Source organism: Homo sapiens, chromosome 4 (assembly GCF_000001405.40).
Source record: "Homo sapiens chromosome 4, GRCh38.p14 Primary Assembly".
In the NCBI taxonomy this organism is placed as follows: Eukaryota; Metazoa; Chordata; class Mammalia; order Primates; family Hominidae; genus Homo; species Homo sapiens.
This window is the reverse complement of record NC_000004.12, coordinates 47,618,731-47,645,075: the sequence shown is the minus strand read 5'-3', so window position 1 is coordinate 47,645,075 and position 26,345 is coordinate 47,618,731. Positions and strand designations below refer to the sequence as shown.

At 37.8% G+C, this 26,345-nt stretch overlaps 1 protein-coding gene and 1 long non-coding RNA gene across 6 annotated transcripts in view; one reads left to right on the top strand and one right to left on the bottom strand.

The window, feature by feature from the left end:
• Window positions 1–26,345, top strand: part of CORIN (corin, serine peptidase) — a 244,067-nt gene that overhangs the window by 192,992 nt on the left and 24,730 nt on the right. For 2 of the 3 annotated variants that reach the window (NM_001278585.2, NM_006587.4), the window contains 5 exons: window positions 1,820–1,930; window positions 3,027–3,156; window positions 18,555–18,671; window positions 21,128–21,177; window positions 21,331–21,505. In NM_001278585.2, the coding sequence (NP_001265514.1) occupies window positions 1,820–1,930; window positions 3,027–3,156; window positions 18,555–18,671; window positions 21,128–21,177; window positions 21,331–21,505 (583 nt within the window). Of the gene's footprint in view, window positions 1–1,819; window positions 2,242–3,026; window positions 3,157–18,554; window positions 18,672–21,127; window positions 21,178–21,330; window positions 21,506–26,345 lie in introns of those variants that run through there. The other variant, NM_001278586.2, reaches the window with a different exon arrangement.
• Window positions 13–21,391, bottom strand: LOC105374444 (uncharacterized). 3 transcript variants are annotated; one of them, XR_007058109.1, is made up of 6 exons: window positions 21,305–21,391; window positions 17,951–18,047; window positions 17,292–17,433; window positions 13,511–13,568; window positions 6,781–9,331; window positions 13–1,090 (listed from the first exon to the last, which is right to left on the bottom strand). It is a non-coding gene; the product is annotated as an uncharacterized LOC105374444 (long non-coding RNA). The 3 variants fall into 3 exon arrangements; XR_925284.3 differs by lacking the exons at window positions 17,951–18,047; window positions 21,305–21,391 and having other exon boundaries at window positions 17,292–17,824; XR_007058108.1 differs by lacking the exons at window positions 13,511–13,568; window positions 17,292–17,433; window positions 17,951–18,047; window positions 21,305–21,391 and having other exon boundaries at window positions 6,781–10,466.

The window sequence follows — 26,345 nt, the reverse complement described above, 5'->3', positions numbered from 1 at the left end:
TGCTTATGCGAATTTGTCAACAGAGCATTTTTATTTTAAACACCAGTTAAGTCTCATTTTGAATACAAGCTAAAAGTGTGTAAATATGCATACAAATCTTTTAGTATTTTCACATCTTTTGATCAAACTCCACTTGTAAAGACATATTCTAAGAAGCCAACTAAATATGTGTAAAATATATACACTATAATATTCTTCTGGCATTATTTATAATATGAGAAAATCAAAATACCTCCAAATATCCAATAATAGGGAACATAAACTACAATCATAAAAGAAAATAATATACAAATATTAAAATTAAATTAGAGAAGAAAAATTTCTCTTGGATTCATTATATGTCATTAGTTGAGTAAAACAGAATATTCAGTATTATGTGCACTATTGTCCTGAGTTTTGAAAGTACATATATCTACACATAGAAAAAGATCAGAAAGTCATATTTAAAAGTTTACAGTTATAGTCTTTGGGTGGTATAATTATTAAATTTTTGTGCTTTTCTATCTTTTCTACATTTTCTAAGTGAATGGCCATTGCTTTTAGAGCCAGAAAATAATTATGTCTCTTAAGATGTTTTACCTACAAATAACAGAAAAGCCCAAATCAAAATGACAAATAATGAAGACATTTATCTTTTATTATCATATACATATCACATGTTTTATATTATCATATAGAGTCAAGTAGGTGGACTCTTGAGGCTGTATGCAGCAGTTTAGCACTTTGTCTGTGATTTTTTCAGTTCAGCTTCAACTCAGGCTGGCTCCCACAATGGTGAAAATATGACATTACCAAGGGCATCTGGGGCACCATGCTTCCTTGATCATGTCCAGCTGGAAGGAGGAAGAACTGTGTTCATATCTCCAAGATATCATTAAGGGATTCGCTCAGGTCAACTTTGGGCGGAGTCACAGCTAGCCGTCAGGAGTCTTTGTGTAGTTAGAAAAGACACTTCCTACAAACAGCTGAACTGCAAAAAGAAGCACCACGCAGGGAGAACCAATCAAAAAAAAGGTGCTGTTTTCTCCAGGTTGTTCCTGTCCCAGGCTAGGGCACATGGCACAGCAGCAGAGTTTGGGCAGGAGCTGTCCTGTGAAGCACAATCACACAACCGTAGGTCAAGGCCCTGATATCGGAGCACATGTTTACTCCTGGACTACTAATTGTATTCAGAAACAAACAAACAAAAAAACTGTAGACAGAAAAATGCCATGCCCAGCTTAAACTAATCAGGATCTTCCTTTGGAAGTGGGGATGGCTGGTGTAGGGGCCTGAACAAAATCGGGCTCCCTTAAAGAAAGGAGGGAGAAAGGAAATGGTTGTTAAGTAGGCAATCAAGGAGATTTACTATAATTTTTAAAACCCAAAAGAGAACTATGTATGACTCAGAGAGTCATTTAATAATAGAGATGGAAAAAAAAACTTATTATGCATCTCTGTGGACAGAGATTGTTTTCTATCTAAGGCGGCTTCAGTCTGTTCATCCCTCATGCTCTGCTCATGCAGATTTTAACCCCGTTCTCTGATCTTTGGTATTTCTGCGGCTGTGAGTACTGTTTATTCAGTCTGATTGTTAGAACCAGAACATTGAGTCACTTGAACATAGTAATTCTGTTTAAATGCTCTTTGTATGTATTGATGTCTATTAAATGATATTTTACAAATTATGTTATTCTGTTTTTATGCCCGTTTGGAAGCCTCAGTGATCACATATTTTCTTCTTTCCATGCTCCTGCTGGCACATGAAGATATGCATGTTAGTGATAATCACATTTATTTCTAAAATGTTTTCCTTCTCACTTTTTGTTCCCCATGCCAGCATTTTGCCAAGATGATGAGCTGGAATGTGCAAACCATGCGTGTGTGTCACGTGACCTGTGGTGTGATGGTGAAGCCGACTGCTCAGACAGTTCAGATGAATGGGACTGTGGTGAGCTACTTGTTTCTGCCATCTGTTGTACTCTCTCATGCCTGTCAGCCACTGAAGCTGAATGGATCCTAAATTACTTCCTGGATTTTACTGACCAAGTTCATCTATTTTGTTTTACTGTTATAAAAGCTGATAGTGCTGATCTATGTGTGTTATTTCCAACTCACAGAAAATTTCCCCACGAAGCTACTTCTCTATTTGAAATATCTATATTGTATGGAAAAACGTTTGGGTTCAAAATGTTGTAATCATATAATTGCTGGGAGAGGATTTAAAAACTCTTCATTAAAACCCAACTTCAATAAATTTAATGATAGTCTGCCATTCTTTTGTCACCTCTACCTGCTAGAATAGAATAGTCAAGTGGCCCCTCTGCCTTCCCTACACTCTTCAGGTCCAAGACTTCTAACTGTCTAGCTCCTTACACAGACAGGAATTAAAGACATCTCCTACCAGCACCTCCAGTGTTGCAGTTTGTGATCTTGAGTTTGATTAATTTCCTCATCCCACACTCATCACTCCTTCCATTCACTCAGCTCTTTCTCAGTCCTTTGCATCATCCAGCCAAATCATGATTCTCATGTGTGTTGTGATCAATTGTGCAGCGTTTCCTAAGTGCTCTGAGGCTGGTTAAGTACAGAGGATTCTCCTTTATATAATAGGAATTAACACATATACCAAATTAATCCTAAATTTGCATCCCTCTCACGCACTTGCGTTCTCGTATACTTTCTTGAAGGAAATGATAGAAATAGATTTACAACTCGCTTCTTGTAATTATGCAAATCCTGGTTAACTCATGGGATGAGGCCTGGCTCTGGCTGTCTTCTAACTCATTAAGAAAAGTTAAGAACTGCCTGTCTCTTTCATTAGAGTCTACGGTTCTTTGAGGGTAGAGAACATTTCTAATTCATTTTTTTTTTAGCCCTCTAGCACACTGAAGGCAGTGATTTGCACAGGGTAGGTACACATCAAATGATTAACTAAAATAAATGAAAATGAATGTATGCCAATGAAGCAGAGGCATGTAAAGTTATGTGCTTTCATGGGAAGAAATGTTTTTAATTAGGGTTTCCCTTGTCTTTTCTTTCCCTAGTGACCCTCTCTATAAATGTGAACTCCTCTTCCTTTCTGATGGTTCACAGAGCTGCCACAGAACACCATGTGTGTGCAGATGGCTGGCAGGAGATATTGAGTCAGCTGGCCTGCAAGCAGATGGGTTTAGGGTAAGGTCAGTAGTTTGTAGCACTGATGAATTTCTCAGAAGGCTTTGTGGAACTTGGCAGTAATATCTTCCTTAGGATGCACAGAGAGTTAGTGCTCTCAAACAAAGAGTCCTTCAAAACCCGGGAAATGAATCAGGTGAGAGGACCATATTTAATTATAGGCACCTGCCCTGAAGAGTGTGTGCTGGAAATGTACTTTGATGAAGCCTCTAAAAGTAAATGAAGTAATTGTATTTTAAGTACTTCTGCAATGAAATGCTTTCATTATTTATAAAAGCATTACAATCATTTCCTTTGAGGAATCTGGATGAAAATATCTTGTAATTTCCCCCCAAGAGGTTATTGAAAATTTCTTCTTAAGCAACACACATTTTTAAATAAGCTGAAGTTGCTGGCATTTCTGTTTACTCTAAGTAAGGCAGTAAATGTAAATCAAGAAATAGTTCAGTATATTTGCTTCTTAGTAGAATGAAAAGATTCACTCTGGCTTTGATACAGATATACTGAAATGGATCCTTTGAAAGTTAGATACTTGCTATTTTGTGAGGTTTTTCTTTTTCAATTCCATTGGGGGTGGAAAGCAATAATTTTCAGGGTCTTAGAATGTGTAAGTATTTCTTTTACCATTGATGTATTTGAGATTTGGGGGAAATGTAGAAATTAGAGAAATTGAAGACAAAGGAGTTCTAAAATTCTAGACTAAATAAAAAATTGAGTAAATGCCATTTCCTAAGATCCATTGAACAAACTTGAAACAATTTTACAATAATGAGTCATGCAGTTATGGGATAGCAACTAGCAGCACATTTTTGTTATCCTAGTTTAAAGAATTACTAATATGCAGCTCCCACCATCTTGAGTCCATTTCTCCCATGTGAAGACCAACATCTTTAGGAATTGAATAACTAATGCTCATCTATAATAAAGGAATTTTAAACTTTGTGAGAGTGGAAAAATTATATTTGCCAAGATCTATTAAATTAGACTTCATTCTCACAACTTCCTTATTGTGTCTAAATGAAATAGGTTATGATTGTGTTCAGAGATAAATGAAAAATCTTTTGAATATGGTTATTTTTATTTTTCTTCTCGATAAAACCTTATTGGTATAAGGTTGAAACTGCAAAGATTTTACAACCAGAAAGTCCTTTTGACAAGCCACCCTGAACATAGCTGTTCTATTGTAAATAGAAAGGTTCCTGTTTTTAAATATGCTTCTTTATGTTTCTTCTAAATATTTGCATATTGGGATTTTTATTGTGTTAAAATACACATCCATAAAATTCACCATTTAACCACTTTAAAGTGTATAATTCAGTGGCATTTACTTTATTCACAATGTTGTGCAACCATCACCACTCTTTGTTTTAGAACACTTTTATTATCCCAAAAGGAAACTGTGTACTCACTAGGCAGTTACTCTCCATTTTCTCGTACCCACTGGACCAGGTAACAACTAATCTGCTTTCTGCCTCTATAAATTGGCCTATTCTGGATATTTCAATATAAATGGAAATATACAACATGAGGCCTTTTCATCTGGTTTCTTTTACTTAGCACATTTTCAATCATCTGTCTTGTAGCATGTACCAGTACTTCTTTCCTGCTTGTGACTGAATAATATGCCATTAAATGGATATACATTTTGTTTATCCATTCAGACATTTGGATTATTCCCACCTTTGGCTATTGTGTGCACAGTGGATTTTTAAAAAATTATGTACTCCATTTGCTCCATTTTCTCAACATAGCTGGAAAATGAAACTTCAGTATTTTAGATATCTTTAGATATATAAAATTCAAATAGACATGCAGATACTTTTTATTTTAGATTATTTTATTTCACAGAAGGACTAGGAAAATCTGAGATAGAGGTGTGGTTGGAAACCCATATCCATTATTTGACTGATTTAATGGGAAAAATGGGTAAGTGGTGATAAGTCCTCCAAAGAAATGAGTACTAGTAGTTTTTGAACTTTTTAGTTGCCTTGAAGTTTACTCTTTAGTTGACTTGAGTGGCTCATGAATTGACAGAAATCTGGAGAGCCAGGCTATGCCGGGAATGATGGTAATGGTCAAGATGAGGCTATCTTCCTGCTGAGGGAACAGGCTCAGGCAGCTGCCATGTGACCACTGTCTCTCGAGACCAGCTGCTGTGCTGCAAATTCATGATTCTGCCACCGATGCCTCAAATAAACTCTAAGTCACCCTGCACCTTTGAGTCATTTCCTCCAGATCAAAGCCCTTGCTAGAAGGGTTTGTCTGGCCATGATTGGCCTATGCTGCACAAGGAGGGAAGTGGGAATGGTGTTCCTTCTTAGCTTCTGGAGTGGAGTTTATGCCAGCCTGCCTTTGTACATTCAGACATATTCTGCATCAAAAACTTGAAGTTTAAAAAGCAACTCCCAACTAATTCCATTCAGCATTCCCCTTCCCTTTTTATTTTTGAGTATCTGCTTATGGGCCTTGTACTGGACTAGGCATTGGGTCGAGGATGCAAAAGTGAATAACATCATCAGAGTTTATAATGGAGTGGGGAAGACATGTAGGTAAACAGCCAAGAACACAAAGTTAGAAAAAAGTCCAGATATTTTGCCATCAGAGAATGGTGTAGACTTATTGCATAGAACATGGCATTTCTATTAAAATTATACAAGAAAAACATAAAACTTTAATCTTATCTTGATAGTATAAATTTGTTGTATCACTCATTCATTCATCCGTTCATTCAGTAAACATTTATAGAGAACGGCATTGTAGTGTGTATGTAGGGTCCGGAACCAGCATACCCTAATTCCAAGTGGATCATTCTTCTACTTCAGGGGGTATATTTTGGAGGGAATTTATCAAGAATGCAGGTCTCCCAAATTTCATGGGTTGCAGGGATTCTACTGAAATGCTTTCATGATAGAGGCAGTTGATTTAAAACACCTGCACTTAGGATGTTTTAGACCCAAATTATGCCTTTCATGTGTTGCTGCTCAAATGCTAGGCTCTCAACTCAGTGCTTGTCTAGATGAGAAGATTTAGAGTTCTTTGTTGAATTTGAAAACTTTTTGCTTTCATCTGTTGCTATCTCAAGAGTTCAGCCCAGATTGGAAGTATGATGGCTCTCTGATTAGAAGAATGCATAAATCAAGCCCCTAAATTCTCATGGCAGCTGTATTAGTCCATTTTTATGCTGCTAATAAAGACATACCCGAGACTGGGAAGAAAAAGAGGTTTAATGGACTTACAGTTCCACAGAGCTGGGGAGGCCCCACAATCATGGTGGAAGGCAAGGAGGAGCAAGTCACATCTCACGTGTATGGTGGCACACAAAAAAGAGAGAGCTTGTGTGGGGAAACTCCCATTTTTAAAACCATATGATCTTGTGAAACTTATTCACTATCATGAAGACAGTACAGGAAAGACTTGCCCCCATAATTGAATCACCTCCCATTGGTTTCCTCCCATGATATGTGGGAATTATGGAAGTTACAATTCAAGATGAGATTTGGGTGGAGACACAGCCAAACCATATCATTCTGCCCCTGGCCCCTCCCAAATCTCATGTCCTCACATTTCAAAACCAATCATTCCTTCCCAGTAGTCCCCCAAAGTCTTAACTCATTTCAGCATTACCTCAAGAGTCCACAGTCCAACGTCTCATCTAAGACAAGGCAAGTCCCTTCCATCTTATAAGCCTGTAAAATCAAAAGCAAATTAGTTTCCTAGATACAATGGGGGTACAGGCATTGGGTAAATACAGCCATTCCAAATGGGAGAAATTGGCCAAAACAAAGGGGCTACAGGCCCCATGCAAGTCTGAAATCCAGCAGGGCAGTCAAATCTTAAAACTCCAAAATGATCTCCTTTGACTCCATGTCTTGCATCTGGGTCACACTGATGCAAAAAGTGGGTTCCCATGGGTCTTGGGCAGCTCTGCCCCTGTGGCTTTGCAGGGTACAGCCTCCCTCCTAGCTGCTTTCATGAGCTGGCATAGAGTGTCTGCGGCTTTTCCAGGCATATGGTGCAAGCTATCAGTGGATCTACCATTCTGGGGTCTTGAGGATGGTGGCCCTCTTCTCACAGCTCCACTAGGCAATGCCCTAGTAGGGATTCTTTGTGGGGGTCTCTGACTCCACATTTCCCTTCCACACTGCCTAGCAGAGGTTCTCCATGAGGGCCCCACCCCTGCAGCAAACTTCTGCCTAGGCATCCAGGCATTTCCACACATCTTCTGAAATCTAGGCAGAGGTTCCCAAATCCCAATTCCTGACTTCTGTGCACTCACAGGCTCAACACCATGTGGAAGCTGCCAATGCTTGGGGCTTCCACCCTCTGAAGCAACATCCTGAGCTGTACCTTGGCCCCTTTTAGTCATAGCTGTCATGGCTGGGACACAGGGCACCAAGTCCCTAGGCTGCACACAGCACAAGGACCCTGGTCCCAGCCCATGAAACCACTTTTTCCTCCTAGGCCTCTGGGCCTGTGATGGGAGGGGCTGCCATGAAGACCTCTGACATGTCCTGGAGACATTTCCCCATTGTCTTGGGGATTAACATTCTGCTCCTCGTTACTTCTGCAGCCAGCTTGAATTTCTCCTCAGAAAATGGTATTTTCTTTTCTATTGCATTGTCACGCTGCAAATTTTCCTAACTTTTATGCTCTACTTCCCTTATGAAAATGAATGCCTTTAACAGCACCCAAGTCACCTCTTGAATGCTTTGCTGCTTAGAAATGTCTTCTACCAGATATCCTAAATCATCTGTCAAGTTCAAAGTTCCACAAATCTCTAGGGCAGGGGCAAAATACCACCACTCTCTTTGGTAAAACATAACAAGAGTCACCTTTGCTCCGGTTCCCAACAAGTTCCTCATTTCCATCTGAGACCACCTCAGCATGGACTTTATTGTCCATATCGCTATCAGCATTTTGATCAAAGCAATTCAACTAGTTTCTAGGGAGTTCCAAACTTTCCTACATTTTCCTGTCTTCTTCTCAGCCCTCCAAACTTTTCCAAATTCTGCCTGTTACCCACTTCCAAAGTTGCTTCCACACTTTTGGGTATCTACAGCAGCACCCCACTCTGCTGGTACCAATTTACTGTATTAGTCCATTTTCACACTGCTGATAAAGACATTCCTGAGTCTGGGAAGAAAAAAAGAGGTTTAATGGACTTACAGTTCCATATGGCTGTGGAGGCCTCACAATCATGGCAGAAGGTGAGAAGGAGCAAGTCACATCTCACGTGGATGGCAGCACACAGAAAAGAGAGAGCTTGTGCAGGGAAACTCCCATTTTTAAAACTGTCAGATCTCCTAAAACTCATTCACTATCATGAGAACAGCACAGGAAGACCCACCCCCATAATTCAATCACCTCCTACCAGTTTCCTCCCATGACATGTGGGAATTGTGGGAGTTACAATTCAAGATGAGATTTGGGTGGGGATACAGCCAAATCATGTCAACAGCATATTGACTTTGCTACTTGCATGTTCAGTATCAAAAAACCTATGGACATTTATTTAATTGATGATACAAATCAGAGTTTAGACTGCCTTCTAATATTTGCCAAATGCTCAGTTGAAACATCTGGTATTTGAGTGAGTTAGTCTAAGGGAAAGGTGACTCTTTATATCTCTGGGCTCCACAAGCTTTATCTAAAGTTAGATAATCGGGAAACAGTGTGTCTGGGTCATATGATTTTGGCAAAAATGCTTTTATGGAGTTAGTTGCAATTTGATTTTATGCCCTAATCTTTTAGTGTTGGTCAATAGAAGTTGGTCAAACATTGTTTTCAAAGAATATTTCTGTATCTGGGCAAAACCACAAAGACAACATCTATTATATTACCTACTAGTCCCTAATAATCCCTGGTATAAGGGTTTACACTTTAACTTCCTCCTAAAATTTACTCCCAGTCATCACCATGGTTGCAGCATTGTCTTGGACATGATATGAATGGATCCTGGGTAAATAAGAACATGATTTATAACTTGAATAATCCATCAGGAGTTGACCAAAGAGGGCTTGTATTATTTCTGTTAGAAGCCCTTGTAAGGAAGCAGTCTGCTTTTGAAGCTAGATATGCCAGGAGACCCTTAGTAATGACTTAACTTCTGATAAGGTGTCTTTTTCATGTTGTCTTCAAAACCTACTGCAATCTGGCTTTTACCTGAAAGACAGGACTGACAGCAATAATATTACCAACATGCAAAAGCCTTTGGTCTTCTTTTCTTACTATTTTACAGTTTGGACTGAAAATCTGATTTCTTACTCTGACCTGTCAGACACTGCATAATTTGGCCCCTGCCTTCCTCTCTGACCCAATACATATCCTAGTATTCTCCACTTGCCCACTAAACTTTAGACACATTGACCTTAATATTGATGTTAAAACATTTCAAGCATAAAACATTTCAAACTTTCCTTCACCGTTATTTTTGCATAGAATACAGAACTCTAGGGCTTCATCATTCATGTCTCAGCTCATACATCTGTGACTTAGGCTTTCTTTGACAATCCTACTTGAGGCAGCTTTCAGTCTCAGCATGTAACTCTATCACATTTGGTTATTTTGTCTTATTCCAACAACTTATCAGTATCCAAAATAGTTTTTTACATGTTTGTAATTTGTTCCTCTAACTAAAATAATAGCTCCTCAGAGAGGGACTCCATCTGATACAACACCAATCTGTTGTCTCCATTTCTGTCCCACCTCATTAACCTCTAAGCATCAGTTTTAACCCTTGTCTATCTGGCTCTGTCACTTGTTTAAAGTGTCACTATAATGTTTCTTCTGAGCTCCAACTCACTTTATATCAGCTTGAACACTCACTGATTAACCCATTGTATCATTAATAAACATGTCAAATCTAATTTCAACCTAATCTTTTACATTTCCTATGTCTTCTTAAAACTAACATACAAACTGAAGAACATGTAGAATCTTGACTCTCAAGAACAATGAACTAACACATTTCAATTAAGATCACATGCAGCGGGCACATATTGTGTTGCTTCTCTGCATTCCTCCCTTCCTTTGGGACCTACATCCCTTCCTTCTCGATATTTACTTCACTTCCCATTTTATCCTTGGGCTCCAAATGGGAGCAACCTTCTTTGTACATGACTTTCTCTTTTGGGTCTGGGATTGGTTGAGGGGTAGGTACCTATCCCAAGATGGACCAATCAAAGTGTCTTACTGCCAGGCCAAAGTAATTGGTTTTGGGATACTTGTTTCTTCAACAAGATTTTTATTTGTATCTTCAACAAGGTTTTTATTTGTTTATTTATTTAAGACAGAGTTTCGCTTTTGTCACCCAGGCTGGAGTGCAATGGTGTGATCTTGGCTCACTGCAACCTCCACCTCCCAGGTTTAAGTGATTCTCCTGCCTCAGACTCCTGAGTAGCTGGGATTACAGGCACTCACCACCATGCCTGGCTAATTTTTGTATTTTTAGTAGAGATGGGGTTTCACCATGTAGATCAGGCTGGTCTTGAACTCCCGACCTCACGTGATCCACCTGCTTTGGCCTCCCAAAGTGCTGGGATTACAGGCGTGAGCCACACCCGGCCCAAGATTTATTTTGATTGGACCTGGGAGAGATGACTTCTTTCTTTTTTGGTTATAAAGACGAATGCCTGTGAGTTTAGAGCTGTAGGCAACCAGTCCTTTGGCTTGCAGAAAAGTTACTTTAAGCCAATCAAGCTGCCATCCCCTTTGCCCTCCTCCCCACAACACAGAAGGAAGTGGAGACGAGCTGAAGAGCCTTGAGGGTACTGGTTCCCTGGCATCAATCATCCTGAAGACCATCCACATCTCTTTAGTAATCAATTACATTTCCACTTTTTGATACTCATATATTCCAGCACTATTTTAGGCATTTTTAAAATGCCGATTTTTTAGTTAATTCAATATTTGTTTAATTTTTTTTGAATTTTGAATTAATTTATCTTGTAATGGATCCATATAGTTATATACTGACTTAAAACTTTGAAGTGAAAAGTGATGCACGTATTTTTAGAAAGCATTTTTATATTCCTGTTATACTCAAGAAGAAGAGAAGAGCAGCCAACAAAGCAAGACTTGTGTTAGAAAAATACATTCTACTCTGGTTCACAGTCTTTCTGAAGAACTGGAATTTAAAAAGTCATGTTGAAATTGAAACTGATAATCTCTAGCTTTACATGATGAAACAAAAGATGTGAAGATAAACAAGAAATATTTTCTTTGAAACTAAAATTAAATTGTCAATAAAATGTTGCATTTCTGTCTCTCAAAAAAAAGTGTTGTCCCAAAAGGTCAAGTTCTCGAAAAAAGGAGATGAGATTTTTGAAAATAAAATAGCCAGAAGGAAATATCTGGACTGGCATAGATTCCAAAAGAGGTAGACACTTCTGCTCAAAAATATTCTTACAACATGTTTATTTTATAAGACTGAATTTTATATATGTTCAAATGATATTTTCATTCAAAATGTTTATGATTGATTATTTTTACACTTTTAATAAGATGTTTATTTTAAATGGTGCTTTATTTTATTAATTTTGTTTTCTAATTTATATTAGAATGATAATGTATATTTAACAGTCATATTTTATAAATTTAAATTTTAGTTCACATTACAATTTTGTAATTTTTATATTGGAAATGGATTAAATATTTAGTTTTGTTTATTAGTTTATTTTATGAAATATAAATACTCTGCAAGTTAATTTTATGATCCATTAACCTCCCCCCTTTGCTTTGAGATAGTTTTGTCATTTGTACCTATAGATCCTTGCCTAATACAGTTACTACACTCCATCTCTGAGATAGACAAACACATAGTCAAAGAATAAAATTATAGGCTGGGCGCAGTGGCTCACGCCTATAATCCTAGCACTCTGGGAGGCTGAGGCATGTGGATCACTTGAGGTCAGGAGTTCGAGACCAGCCTGGGCAACATAATGAAACCCCACCTCCACCAAAAAGTACAAAAATTAGCCGGGCGTGGTCGCATGAGCCTGTAGTCCCCAGCTACCCAGGAGGCTGAGGCAGAAGAATTGCTTGAACCTGGAAGGTGGAGGTTGCAGTAAGCTGAGATCACGCCACTGCACTCCAGCCTGGGCGACAGAGTGAGACTCCATCTCAAAAAAAAAAAATCTATCTAACTATCTATCTCTATCTATCTATCTATCTATCTATCTATCTATCTATCTATCATCTATTGTCAGTTAGGATTGCAATAAAAAGTGTTTTTAAAATACTGAGTTAACTAGAAAAATAAGCTCAGAACTTATGCTCTGCTTTAAGCATTTCTATTGATGAAAGTTTTGCTGTATAAACTCCCATTGAACTGAGCTATCCAGCCTGAGAAATGTTTCTGTAGCAGAGTTCATTCATGTTTTGTTTGAAACCTATTAGTACCTGCCTGTTAAAATTTCTACTTGACACAATAACTTTCAGTTATTAGTATGTCAAATCTGTGGGACCCAAACAGGGAGAATATGACAAGATTCAAGAAGAGATTTTTGAAATCAGATACAAAATGTTTAGTATAAATGTTTCAAGTTTGGAACAGGATATTTAGAATTGCAAAAAATTTATCTTATCCACTGTGAAAGGCATTTATATGTCAAGATGAACTGTCAAGGACTGAGGCTGGATGCTTAGATTATTTTCCCCCATCAATAGATGGAAGAGGACAAACCTTATCCTTCAACTGAAGTGTGTTACATGTCTAGGTAATTCCTGCACTTCTGTCTTGTTGTTAGAGGTAAGAAAAAAGCCCTGGTTTTGGGGGAATTTGTGATGACCTTCGTTTTTTAAGTAAGCAGCCCCAACATAATCATAATTCAAGCATGGGATATTTATTACTAAACGAAGTGACTTGAGGATGGGAGAGTAGGCCAAATTGTCTAGGGATCTGGCTGTTCTCCTAAGCCTTGAAATATTTAATCCCTCTCATAATGTCAGGATGTTCCAGAACTCCTAATGAGCTCTGTTCTCTCATTTCAGCATCAGAAAAGTGATATATTTGTATGTGTGTCTTATGACTACACAATTCCTCAAGAAGCAAATATAAGGCAAATCCTTTTGCTTCTCTGTATAGCACTGCCTTCAGGCCCAGAGCAGAGGGGCCTTGCCCTGGGCTCCATGATTTAGAGCAGTGGTTCTCAACCAGGGGTGACTTTGCCCCTAGGGTAGCAATCCCCAACCTTTTTGGCACCAGGGACTGGTTTTGTGGAAGACAATTTTTCCACAGACTGGGATGGGATGGGGGGAATGGTTTTGGCATGATTCAAGCACGTTACATTTATTGTGCACTTTATTTCTATTATTATTACATTATAATATATAATGAAATCATTATACTACTCACCATAATGTTGAATCAGTGGGAAACCTGAGCTTGTTTTCCTGCAACTAGATGGTCCCATCTGAGGGTGATGGGAGACAGTGACAGATCATCAGGCATTTGATTCCCATAAGAAGCACGCAACCCAGATCCCTTGCATGCGCAGTTCACAATAGGATTCACACTCCTGGGAGAATCTAAGGCCACTAATTGGACAGGAGGCGGAGCTCAGGCAGTAATGCCTGTGATGGTGAGCAGCTGTAAACACAGATGAAGCTTTGCTGGCTTGCCCCGCACTCACCTCCTGCTGTGTGGCCTGGTTCCTAACAGGGGCCCTGGGGCTGGGGACCCCTGTCCTAGGGGACATTTGGAATGTCTGTAGACATTATTTTTTAAATTGTAAATCCAGGGTTGATGGGGTCTTACTTGCTAGTGGGTAGAAGCCAGGGATGTTACAAAACATCCTGCAGTGCACAGGAATCACTCTACATAGCAATTAATTAACTGGTATAACTTGTCAATAGCATTTAGGGTGAGAAACCCTGATTTATAGGCACCCTCCGGCCCTCCTCCTCTAGCTCACCCCATGGGGTAAGGACTCTGTTAGCCAAGGAGTTCTGCTCACATGGAGCCTCATCCCTTTTCTAGAGTGATGCTTTCAAAGTGCGGTCTCAGACCAGCATCATCATCATCACCTGTGATCTTGGTAGAGAGACAGATTTTGGGTCCCATCTGAGACTTAACTGAATCAGAAAATCTGGGGATGAGGCCAACAAATCTGTGTTGTAACAGGTCCTCCAGGTGATTCTGATGAATGCTAAAGTTTGAAACCCACTGTTCTCAGGAGTCCAAGAGTTCTGTATTTGAACCTAACAGATGTGTTTGTCAAGAGAGGAGGAGAGAAATTTTCTTTAACAGCTTGATAACTTGATTTATAACTTCTAAATATGTAGACAAATGGCAATTGGGCCTCCACTGGTACTCTTGCCCTAGCTGCTGGATTAGATCATTGCTAAAATTTCCTTCTCCGTGTATGAATCCATAGATGCTATGGAAGCATTTTGAGTCTGTATTACCTGCACAGACTCAGTTAGGATACAGTGACTTTGATGCTTAAATTTTCTCTTTTGCTTTCTACACAACAGGACTTTTTTGTCTTTTCATATAATACAAAACGGTTTCAATTATTTAAGTCAAAAGCAATCCCAATCATCAAACAAAATTTGAGCAGCTCTTAAGTTCCAGCCACCTTTTACGTAAGATGATTTACATAGTTTTAAAAATGGAGAAGTACAGGCACACATATTCTTGATGTGCATGTATATTACTATTATTCTTTGAAATGGAAGTTCATAATACCAATCAAAAATTCAAATTTTGATTCAATGATTTTATTTCTAGGAATTTATTCCAAAATCATACTTTTGCATGTAGGCGAAGGTGAATGTTTACGATATTAACTGCTGCTATTTTATCATACCCCCAAACCTATGTGTGCAGAGATTAGTTAAGTAAATGTATGAACATCCATGTAACAAACACTATGCAGCTATCAAAAGAACATGGTGTGCTGTCAATGGGGGAGAACTGTGTAGGGTTCACACTTTAAGAACTGTACTCTGACATGAGACCATAGGGATTAAATTACCAGCTTTGCCGTCTGCTTGTTTTGTGCCTTGGGCATGTTACTTGTTTTCTCTACCTCAATTTTTTCATCTCCAAAATGGGAAATAATTATAAAGTCTACGTCACAGAGTTGTTGAGATGATTAAATAAAACAAGTTAGTCTTTTAGTGCTTGTCATATAGAAAACAGTTAACACCTGTTAGCTGTTATGGTGGAAAGACTTCTAAGATAAGTCACTAAGTGAAAGTATCAAGACCACACAGAACAACGTGTGTAGCAAAGGAGGGAAATGTATACATGAATTGTAGAAAGAGCTTGACAAAGATACTCAAACACTATTTACAGTGGTTGTTTCTATGCATCTAAGATAGGAAGAAGACAACTTTTTCATTTTATAATTGTTGATATGATAGGAGAAGAAAACAACTTTATCATTTTATAATTGTCGATATATTTTTCTGTGTACAAGTATTACTTTTATAATTTTCAAAGTTATTTAAAAAAACCATATATCCAATGAGGTTAGTATCCAAAATACATAAGGAACTAAAATAATTCAACAGCAAAAAGCCAAATAACCTGATTGAAAAGTGGACTAAGGACCTGAACAGACATTTCTAAAAGGAAGACATAGAATGGCCAACAAATATAAGAAAAGGTGCTCAGCATTACTAATCATCAGGGAAATGCAAATTAAAATCACAATGAAATGTCACCTCATATCTGTTAAAATGGTTATCATCAAAAAGAGAAAACATAAAAAATGTTGGGGAGAAGTGGAGAAGGGGAAACCCTATATATTCTTGGTAGAAATGTTAATTGGTACAGTACTTATGAAAAACAGTATGGAGATTCCTCAAAAAATTTAAAATAGAACTACCTACCATATGATCCATCAATCCCACTTCTGGGTATATATCTAAAGGAAATAATTATCTCAAAAAGACATCTGCACTCTCATGTTAATTGCAGCACTCTTCATAATACCCAAGATATGAAAACAACTTCAGTGTTTGCTGATAAGTGAATGGATAAAGAAAATGTGATGCCACATTTTCTTTACACAATAGAATATATATTTCTTTATACAATAGAAATTTTATGCAAAGAATACACATACACACACTACATTTTCTTTACACAATAGAACACTACTCAGTATTCTTAGAAGGAAATTCTGCCATTTGAGACAACATGGATAAACTTGGAGGACATATTAAGTGAAATACGCCAAGCACAGAAAGACAAACACTGCATGATCTCATTTATATGTGGAATCTAAAAAAGTCAACTTGTAAATGCAGAGAGTAGAATGTTAGTTGCCAAAAACTAGGGGATGGAGAAAATGGGGAGATGGTCAAAGGGTACAAAGATTTGGTAATGTGGAATGAATAAGTTCCGGAGATCTAATGTACAACATGGTGACTATAGTTAACGATGCTAAATTGTATACTTGAAATTTGCTAAGATTCTTGGCCTTAGTGTTCTTAACACACACACACACACACACACACACACACACACACGTAACTATGTGGTGATAGATATGCTTCTTAGCTTGATTGTGGTAGCCATTTCACAAGGTATACATATATCAAACATTACATTACACCCCTTAAATATGTACAATTTTTATTTGTTAAGAATGCCTCAATAAAGCTGGAAAAAAAAGAAAGGGAAATTGAAGTTATGGAGATGCTCAGATTCTGTACGATGGCAGAAATACAACCAAACAAATTCACTGACTTTTTTAAATGGGCCATTGGATGACATTTCTGGTGCTGAAAGTTTATGTTTGTGCATGAGAAACATGCCAGTGTTCAAGAATTTCATGGAAACCTAATTTTCATAATGATACTCCCCTATCCTTGATGATTAATTTCTTAAATTTTCCACTTATAACTGAGAAATTCCATCTAGATTGCCTTTCCTCTTGGAAGCTAATGAATGAAATGCAAAAACATCCTGTGGATGTCTGTGGAGCCCTTCCTCAGGGCAGCTGGGGGCCTTTTGAGTTGAAAGGCTGGTGTTCCTTGCAATGATTTTCCTATCCAGCATCAGTGCACACTCTCTCCTAATTGCACTCCCCATGCAAGTATCTTGTTGCCCTATGAATACCTGATTTAAGAATGACCTGATTAAATAACAAAATCTAAAGTTTATCTTCTTTTGGCTTTACCTGGATTTAGGAGGTCCATAGGTAGTTCTATCGCAGAAGGGAATTCTCAGGATGCAGGTTATCAGGAGAAACACCATGACCAGTATGTGTGGCCTCTGACTTTTATACTTTCCATCTCACTTTGCCTCTGCATTCAGAACTTCTGGAATTGATGGAGAGCCGGATTCATTTTGGCCAAGAAAAAGAAAAATTCTTATTTTTGTAAGAGGTTTTTTTGATATCTTCGGTAATCTAACAGTCAATTCAAATTTCTAAATAAATTTATATCTTAAGCCACTCTTCTTCATTGTGGCTAGGATGTATGACATTTGTTTTAAAATCAAATGTTTATAATTCATTCATTATGAAATACTCTTGTGTTTTTAATCTTTGGCTCTTATTCTATCATCAAGTATTCCCTTTAGAGGGTTCTTCCTTGCCTTTTTAAAAGTATGAGTTAGGGGAAGTTTTTGTCCATTTTCTATTATGTGATTACAATAGTTTAAAAATAATAATCAGATGAGGCCAGGTGCCATGGTTCATGCCTGTAATCCTAGCAGTTTGGGATGCTGAGGTGGGCAGACCACTTGAGGTCAGGAGTTTAAGACCACCCTGGACAACATGGTGAAACCTCATCTCTACTAAAAATATAAAAATTAGCTGGGCGTGATTGCATGTACCTGTGATCCCAGCTACTTGGGAGGCTGAGGCAGGAGAAGCACTTGAACCCTGAGGCAGACGTTGCAGTGAGCCGAGATTGTACCACTGTACCCCAGCCTGGGCAACAGAGCAAGACTTCATCAAAAAAAAAACAACAACAACAACAACAACAACCTACAAACATAGAAATATTACAATTCTTACAACTTTTATGCTGTCTAAATAAATGCTAAATGGCCACTGATTCTCTTTATGTGTTGTTTATTTTATTTTATATTGCTATATTGCAGAATTACAATGGACAAGAAAAGAGGAGGAAAAAAACCTAGCTAGATACATTTTATTTTACTTTTGATCTCTGCCTAAAGTTATTCTTATGTTTTACCTGTTGGAACTTTTGTATCATACACATTATAATCCTAACACCTCATGCAGTTCAAACACAGGTCAGCAGGGAGAATGACTAAAACAGCTCTAACAATTTGTAACAGTCCAAATTCTCCTCTTGAAATGTTGACATGATTTAGTGCTTCTTTTTGAAAGGGAATGAGTGCTAAATAATGATAATGCCTGTTCAAAGATCATTGTACTTTGAATACTTATCCAGTATTTGCCTTGTATCAGAGAACCATCTGTGACCAAATTGATACAGGAACAGGAGAAAGAGCCGCGGTGGCTGACATTACACTCCAACTGGGAGAGCCTCAATGGGACCACTTTACATGAACTTCTAGTAAATGGGTAAGAATGCATTCATAAGAGCTGTGTAGAGTCAGATTACAGAGCAAGAGTTTATCATTGGGCCTTTCTTCCATTTTTTAACTTAAGATAATCCAAATTTGTCATATCAGTAAAGAGTTTCCATAGATTTACTATTGCCTTTACATTTCAACATTGGTTGCTTTTATTTCTTCTTTCTAGACATAGATTTTTTTTCTCTTTTATTCACGATTACAGAAACTATCATGGCGAGGAGAGAGGAACTTGGGTTCTAATCTTGGATTACTTTTAATATCTTATTCAAAATAAACCCTCATGTCTGCATTTCCTGCAGATGCTACATAGAACTAGTAAACAGAGGGAACTGAAGTAATGATAACTAAGAAAACTTGGAATGTCTAAGAGAGGAATAGACACAAAAATGAAATTATAATCAAGTTGCCTTGAAAGTACACTTAAGTTTACCCTAAAAAATCATTGCATCTTAAACAGGGTTGCTTCCCTTGTCTATGGGTGGGGTGTAGGAGGAAGATAAATTGAGGAAATTTACACTTACTAAGTTCTTATTACTTTATAGGCACACAGCTAGGTAATCTTATATACACTGACTCGTTTAAACCTCATAATAGATTTGTGAACCATGGATGATTATCCAATATTTTACAGCTTGAATATTTAAATAACTTGCTCAAATCTCACAGCCCACAGATGCTAAGTGATAGTGTCTGAACTCTAAATAAATATATCTGACTCTGAAGCTCATAAATGTTGCTACTTCTTAAGAATTTTAAAGAGGAAAACTAAAAATGGACCATTTCCTCTTAAAAAGTTCTTGACATTTTCCTCATAAAACAAACTCTGCAGCCAAATTTCTGAATATTTGTCAATTGAAGTACTTCCTCTAAAACAATGACCTAAATCTTTTAACCAAGTGATTTGTTTCCCCAAACCTGTAATTCCAGAAAAAACCTTTCAGGTCAAGTAAATAAATAAATAAATAATGCATTCTAGATTGGGAGTTGGTAAACTTGGTTCTAGTCCTGGTTTACTAACTACAAGTGTTATCTTATATAACTGCAATTTCCACTAAGAAGTTGGATGAATAGTCTTTGATGACTTTTCCTATTCCTAAGAGCTATGTGTTTTCAATCTAACAAATAACAACTAATTATTAAGTATTTCTTTAATGCCAAGTTCAGTATTAGGCTTTGAGGGGATGTAGAAGTGAATGAGGGGAAATGAAGGCCCTCATCTCAGGGAACATACACTATATGGGGGTGAAAATAAAGATTATAAATTAGTAAAAATAATTTTAGGCTTTGGTAAGTGCTGCAAATAAATTTAGAATAATGTAATAGAGAGTAAGGAAGAGAGGATTTTAGACTGTGGGAGGGTAGAAAGCAAATGAGCTTTTCCTGTATTACATAATTTATTGTATGCAAATAATTGCACTTGCCCCTACATAAATTTAGCAAGAAATGAAAATACAGTAAATCTTCAGAAAGGAATGTGGAAATTATATATTTAGGGTTGCATTTTTTTTTTTCAATCTGATAGATCTAGGATTCTAAGTACATCATAGTATTTTTGAAAGTCCCAATATGGATTTTTATTGTCCTTTTTCATTTACATTGAGGTTGTAATGTAAATGTTTCATGGTTGGAAGAGAACTTAGTGATTAAAATTTCTACCCCAAACTGAATTATCTTGTGCCATCACATTGAAAGATCCTTTAACAGGGACCATGTTCTTGCATTCAAAGTTGAATTTAGATTTTAGAAAATTCTTTTCCTGAACCCACAATTCTTGTAAATTGCACCTACTAGTTCTGATCATGTCGTCTAAAGTTATATGAAGCAAATTTAAGCTACTTTTCCTCTTGTCAACTTCTCATATAGCAGAAATTTAACCTTGAGAGTCTTGGTAAGACTCCTTTCCAGTCTAAATATTCCATTTCTTAATCTGTTCTTCAAATTTCTGAAGTCATATTTTACTCATCTTGGAGTATTTCTCAACTTGTTTTGAGCACACACCACTTTGTATAAGCATAAAAATCTGACATGCTGCCTCCTCACCACTGACTCTAAAAAGTACTCCCATCTCCCCTTGAGAACTGTAGTTTGAATTTGCATTGTGGTGGTTCCACCAGCCAAAATGATGTGGGAAATTTTGTTAAAATAGTTTCTTTTCCCACAAATGTGAAATTAAATTATGATGACATTAAATAAACTAAAAAAAGAAGTATATATATTCCATATACTCCTGCCTACAACATGATTAATATCTGACCACACTCCTGCCTTGAGAATTCCTGCACCAAGAGGAATGTGCTTTCCTGTGGTAACACAGGAAATGCTCAGAGAATGTGATTTCTGGTGGTAACAGTTGGAGCTGTCTTGTATTTCACTGGTAAAGTGTTTGAATTGAACAAGAAATATGTAACTTAATGTTATACCATTTTATGTTTCCAAATCCAGGCAGTCTTGTGAGAGCAGAAGTAAAATTTCTCTTCTGTGTACTAAACAAGGTGAGAGAATTAGAGGTGTGGCAATGGGATATGAACTTAATTGAACTGGATTGGCTCAGGGGAAGAGTGATCGCTTGTAAGTGACAGCAAAGAGCTAAGCATTTAGCAAGGTTTGGCATCAACTCACAAACTGTGTCTTCTGCTCCTTGGTAGACTGTGGGCGCCGCCCTGCTGCCCGAATGAACAAAAGGATCCTTGGAGGTCGGACGAGTCGCCCTGGAAGGTGGCCATGGCAGTGTTCTCTGCAGAGTGAACCCAGTGGACATATCTGTGGCTGTGTCCTCATTGCCAAGAAGTGGGTTCTGACAGTTGCCCACTGCTTCGAGGGGTAAGCTGCACCTTTCCTTTTTTCCTTTGCCTGGATTTGATCACTTTGTCACTCGGGAATTCTCAGTGGCATATGTAACTCCATGAAGCCACATCCAGGCGAAAGCCACAGCTAATCTACTTCCCAGGCCTTTATCTTCCTAAAGTTTTCTATCCTTGATGTTGCCATCTAATATGTGGGCTGCTCATTTGTTGGAAATGGCTGCATATTGCTTCCAATTTTTGTCCTAAGAGAGAGAAAGAAGTTTAGAAGACTGACTCTATGCTACTATTAGTCTCTTTTCTAGACCTCTTAAATATATCACATATATAATAACTTAAACAGAAGTGATTTATTTGGATACTACAATGAGGTTTGGATGCAGGCGCAACTGGTGAGTAGTTTGGGAAGCAGAGTTAAAGGTATAATGTGTGTAATATGTGTGCTATTCAGAGAGAGTGTGTGTGTGTGTGTATATATATATATATATATATAGAGAGAGAGAGAGAGAGAGAGAGAGAGGTTATGTTATGCCATTTTATGTTTCCAAATCTAGGCAGCCTTGTCATAGCAGAAGTAAGATTTCTCTTCTGTGTGCTGAACAAGGTGAGAAAATTAGAGGGGTAGCAATGGGAAATGAACTTAATTGAACTGGATTGGCTCCGAGGAAGAGTGATCACTTGAGCCCATCCAAACCAAACCAAACCAAAACACAGACAAAACAATGATGACAAACAAAGGTTTGTTTTGACATAATTGGCTTATGTGATTCTGGAGGCTTGGTGAATCCAAAACCTGATGAGGTAGGTGGCAGGCAGGAAGATCGGGCAAGAGTTGCAGTTCAATCTGCTGGCAGAATTCCTTCTTGCTGGAGAGGTCAGTCCTTGTTCTATTCAACCCCATCAAAAAGTGGGCGAAGGACATGAACAGACACTTCTCAAAAGAAGACATTTATGCAGACAAAAAACACATGAAAAAATGCTCATCATCACTGGCCATCAGAGAAATGCAAATCACAACCACAATGAGATACCATCTCACACCAGTTAGAATGGCAATCATTAAAAAGTCAGGAAACAACAGGTGCTGGAGAGGATGTGGAGAAATAGGAACACTTTTACACTGTTGGTGGGACTGTAAACTAGTTCAACCATTGTGGAAGTCAGTGTGGCGATTCCTCAGGGATCTAGAACTAGAAATACCATTTGACCCAGCCATCCCATTACTGGGTATATACCCAAAGGACTATAAATCATGCTGCTATAAAGACACATGCACACGTATGTTTATTGCGGCATTATTCACAATAGCAAGGACTTGGAACCAACCCAAATGTCCAACAATGATAGACTGGATTAAGAAAATGTAGCACATACACACCATAGAATACTATGCAGCCATAAAAAATGATGAGTTCATGTCCTTTGTAGGGACATGGATGAAATTGGAAATCATCATTCTCAGTAAACTATCGCAAGAACAAAAAACCAAACACCGCATATTCTCACTCATAGGTGGGAATTGAACAATGAGATCACATGGACACAGGAAGGGGAATATCACACTCTGGGGACTGTTGTGGGGTGGGGGGAGGGGGGAGGGATAGCATTGGGAGATATACCTAATGTTAGATGACGAGTTAGTGGGTGCAGTGCACCAGCATGGCACATGTATACATATGTAACTAACCTGCACAATGTGCACATGTACCTTAAAACTTAAAGTATAAAAAAAAAAAAAAGATTTTTATCTGAATGGGTAAGGCCCATCCACATCATGGAATGTCATCGGCTTTACTCAAAGTCCGCTGATTTAAATATTAATCTCATAAAAAAAAACACCTTCACAGAAACATATAGAATAATGTTTGGCCAAATATTTGGGTGCTGTGGCCCAGCCAAATTGATACATAAAATTAACCACCACAATATGCCTAAAGAGAGCAGAAGAATAAAACTAAGGGAAAACCTACCCCAAACTGACGAACATCACTGCAGAATCTCTTCCAGCTATCTGTTGCTATGTAATTTGTAGCAAAACAAAACAAACAAAACCAAACATAAACAAAACAATAACAACAAACAAAAACTCAGACATTTATTATGCTCACTGAAGATTCAGACAAAGTGTAGTTGGCGTAATTTGTCTCTGCTCTGTGATTTCTGGGGCCTCAGCTAGAAGATTCCAAAGCTAGGGAGAGGCTGGCACCATCTGAAGTCTGACAGTAGATGCTGCCTGTTGGCTGGGGCCTCAGTTCCTCTCTGTATGAGACTCACTTCATGGTGGCTGGCATCCTCCAAAGCAAGCTTCCCAAAAAGGAAGCCAGGAAGAAGTTGTATTACCTTTTTTGACTCAGCATCCAAAAGCACAAAATGTTGCTTCTCCTATGTGGTTGCCCAGAGCCATCAGTCACAGGCCCCACCTAATTCAAAGGGAAGAAACACAGACCTCCCACATCAAAGGACTTGAGGACAGGTTTTGAAAACCACCATACTAGCCATTTTATTGTATTTATTTTTAGTAATTTTACTTTATTTAAATGAAGTAATATTAAATAATAGCAAAAATTCGAGGCAAAAAATAATCCACAGGTCTATTACTTAATTAAATGGATACTTTTCATTTGATCTGATTAGTTTCTAGGAAAAAAATGCAATTTCATTTTTTGCCTATTTGCCTGTTATTATTTTGTCTTAGCTTAGCCAATTATTGTGTGACCACTGGCCAGCTCAGTAACTTCTATGGACCACAGTTTTCTGTTATGTGAAATTAAAGAAATAATAATCCCTACCTCACAGAGTTGGTGCGGGCAGGAAGTGAAACAGTCTATGTAGAGCTTTAAGAACTATGCCTGGCATCAACCAGTAAGACACCGAAAGGTAAACTTTTCTTTTAAAAAAACTATTGCTAAAATCATGCATTCTGCATTTTCCCTTAGCATTATGGCATGAGTATTTTTGCATTTTGCTAGCACTATTCTCCCACACTCATTTACCTTAATTCCTGATCATCCTTAAGGTAACCCCTGTTAGTGCATTATGAATATTCTCCCACAATCATAAACACCTATCTTTTTCACAAGCCGTCATTGTTTACTTTTACAATTTGGAATAACACTCTATAATTCCATTTGTTAGTTGCTTTTCTCATGGAGCAATATATCATGGACATCTCTCCAGGTCAACTGATGCAGCTCTAACTCATTTTTTTTAAGCCAAATAATATTCTATCTATAGATTTATTATAAGTTTTAAAATTATTCCCCACTTGATGGACATTTGGTTTAGTTCCAGTTTGCTGCCATTTTAACAATACTGCAATAAATGTTCTTAAAGAAAGCTACTCACCTATTAGTACTCTTGTTTGTAGAGGATACAGTTCCAGCACATACCTGTAGTTTCATAAGGAAGTTACACAGATGGATACATGTTTTGTTCTCTAAGGGGCTAATCTAGTGAGGAGACACACTTTTAAACAAGTAATTAGATTACAGTGTGATAGTGATTATAAAATGGAAATGTGTATATCCAGTTATTTGATTGCTATTTTGGGGGAAATAAAGCATTAAAAAAATCTAACTAGCACCTTCGCTTGAGAGCTTTCAATGTGTAAGATCCAGAATTATTGGAAGAGTCTGCATAGTATGTCAAAAAACACACTGGAATGTTATTGCTTTAGAAGGGGCCAGATGTTTCCAGATGTCTTTTGCAGACCTAATTTGTAACTCCATGGTAATAAGAAGGTTACACTAGCAAGAGTACATTCATCAAGCGATGATTACCTAAATGAATCCAACAGTTTTTTTCAGGGAACAGCACTCTTTATGTGCTAGTTAATTGAGGTTCATATCCCACTTTTGTTATTTCCACATGTGGTATCCAAGTTTCCTCTTTCACTGACAGATCTGTAAAGTTCAGGAGAAATCTTGCAATAGAGAAGAAATATGTGCTTATAATTAAAGGCACGTACATAATATTAAAGGCCTTGGTAAGTTTCATGAAACACTAAATTTAACAAAACTGTGAAGAGAGGCCTAGTCTATCCAGAAGAAGTTAGAAAATGCCCCACTTTAAACAAGCTTTTGCTTGAATGTGGGCTAATAACCCTGATTCTATTTTATAACATCTCCAGGGGAGTAGCAAACTTTTGGGAACTTCTAATTGTATGCCATACTCCCTTTTGGAGCTATCAATTACAGCAATTAATGGGATTTACTTCATATCCTGATCCCATACTTTGATAGGGCCTAGAGTGACCCATTGGTGGGTATCCTCAGCCTGTCTCTTTTTTAATTATATTTATGGGAAAAAGACAAGTTTGTTTTGCTCTGCTATGAAGAGGTAGATAAAAATCCCAAATGAAAATTTAAAATCATGAGATGGTTGACCAGATCAAGCCCCATATGTCCTAGTGACAATTCGCTTTCAAAAGTTCTAAGGAAGAATGGTTTTGACTTTCATGGGTAATTTAGCAAGCAATTTTCCTGCTTTCTTCCACTTCTGAAAGACTTAAGAATGAACTTCCTAGGCTGGCACACAGCTAGTAATGGTCAGAAACATCTGATTCCTCTCCAGGAAACCCACGTGAAAAACTGTCCTCCCACTATATGACCACAACCCATACTCCTGCCATGTCACCCATGTCTTGATTCCCTTCACAGCAGCTCTTCAATCCAACAAGATTTTTGGTTGGTGGCTGCACTTTCTGCCCTAGTATCTCAGTCCAAAGAGTCTCCTTCTTGCCTCCTTTCTTTTTCTTTCTTTTTTTTTTTTGTGAGACAGAGTCTCGCTCTGTGCCCAAGCTAGAGTGCAGCCGCGCGATCTTGGCTCACTGCAAGCTCCGCCTCCTGGGTTCATGCCAT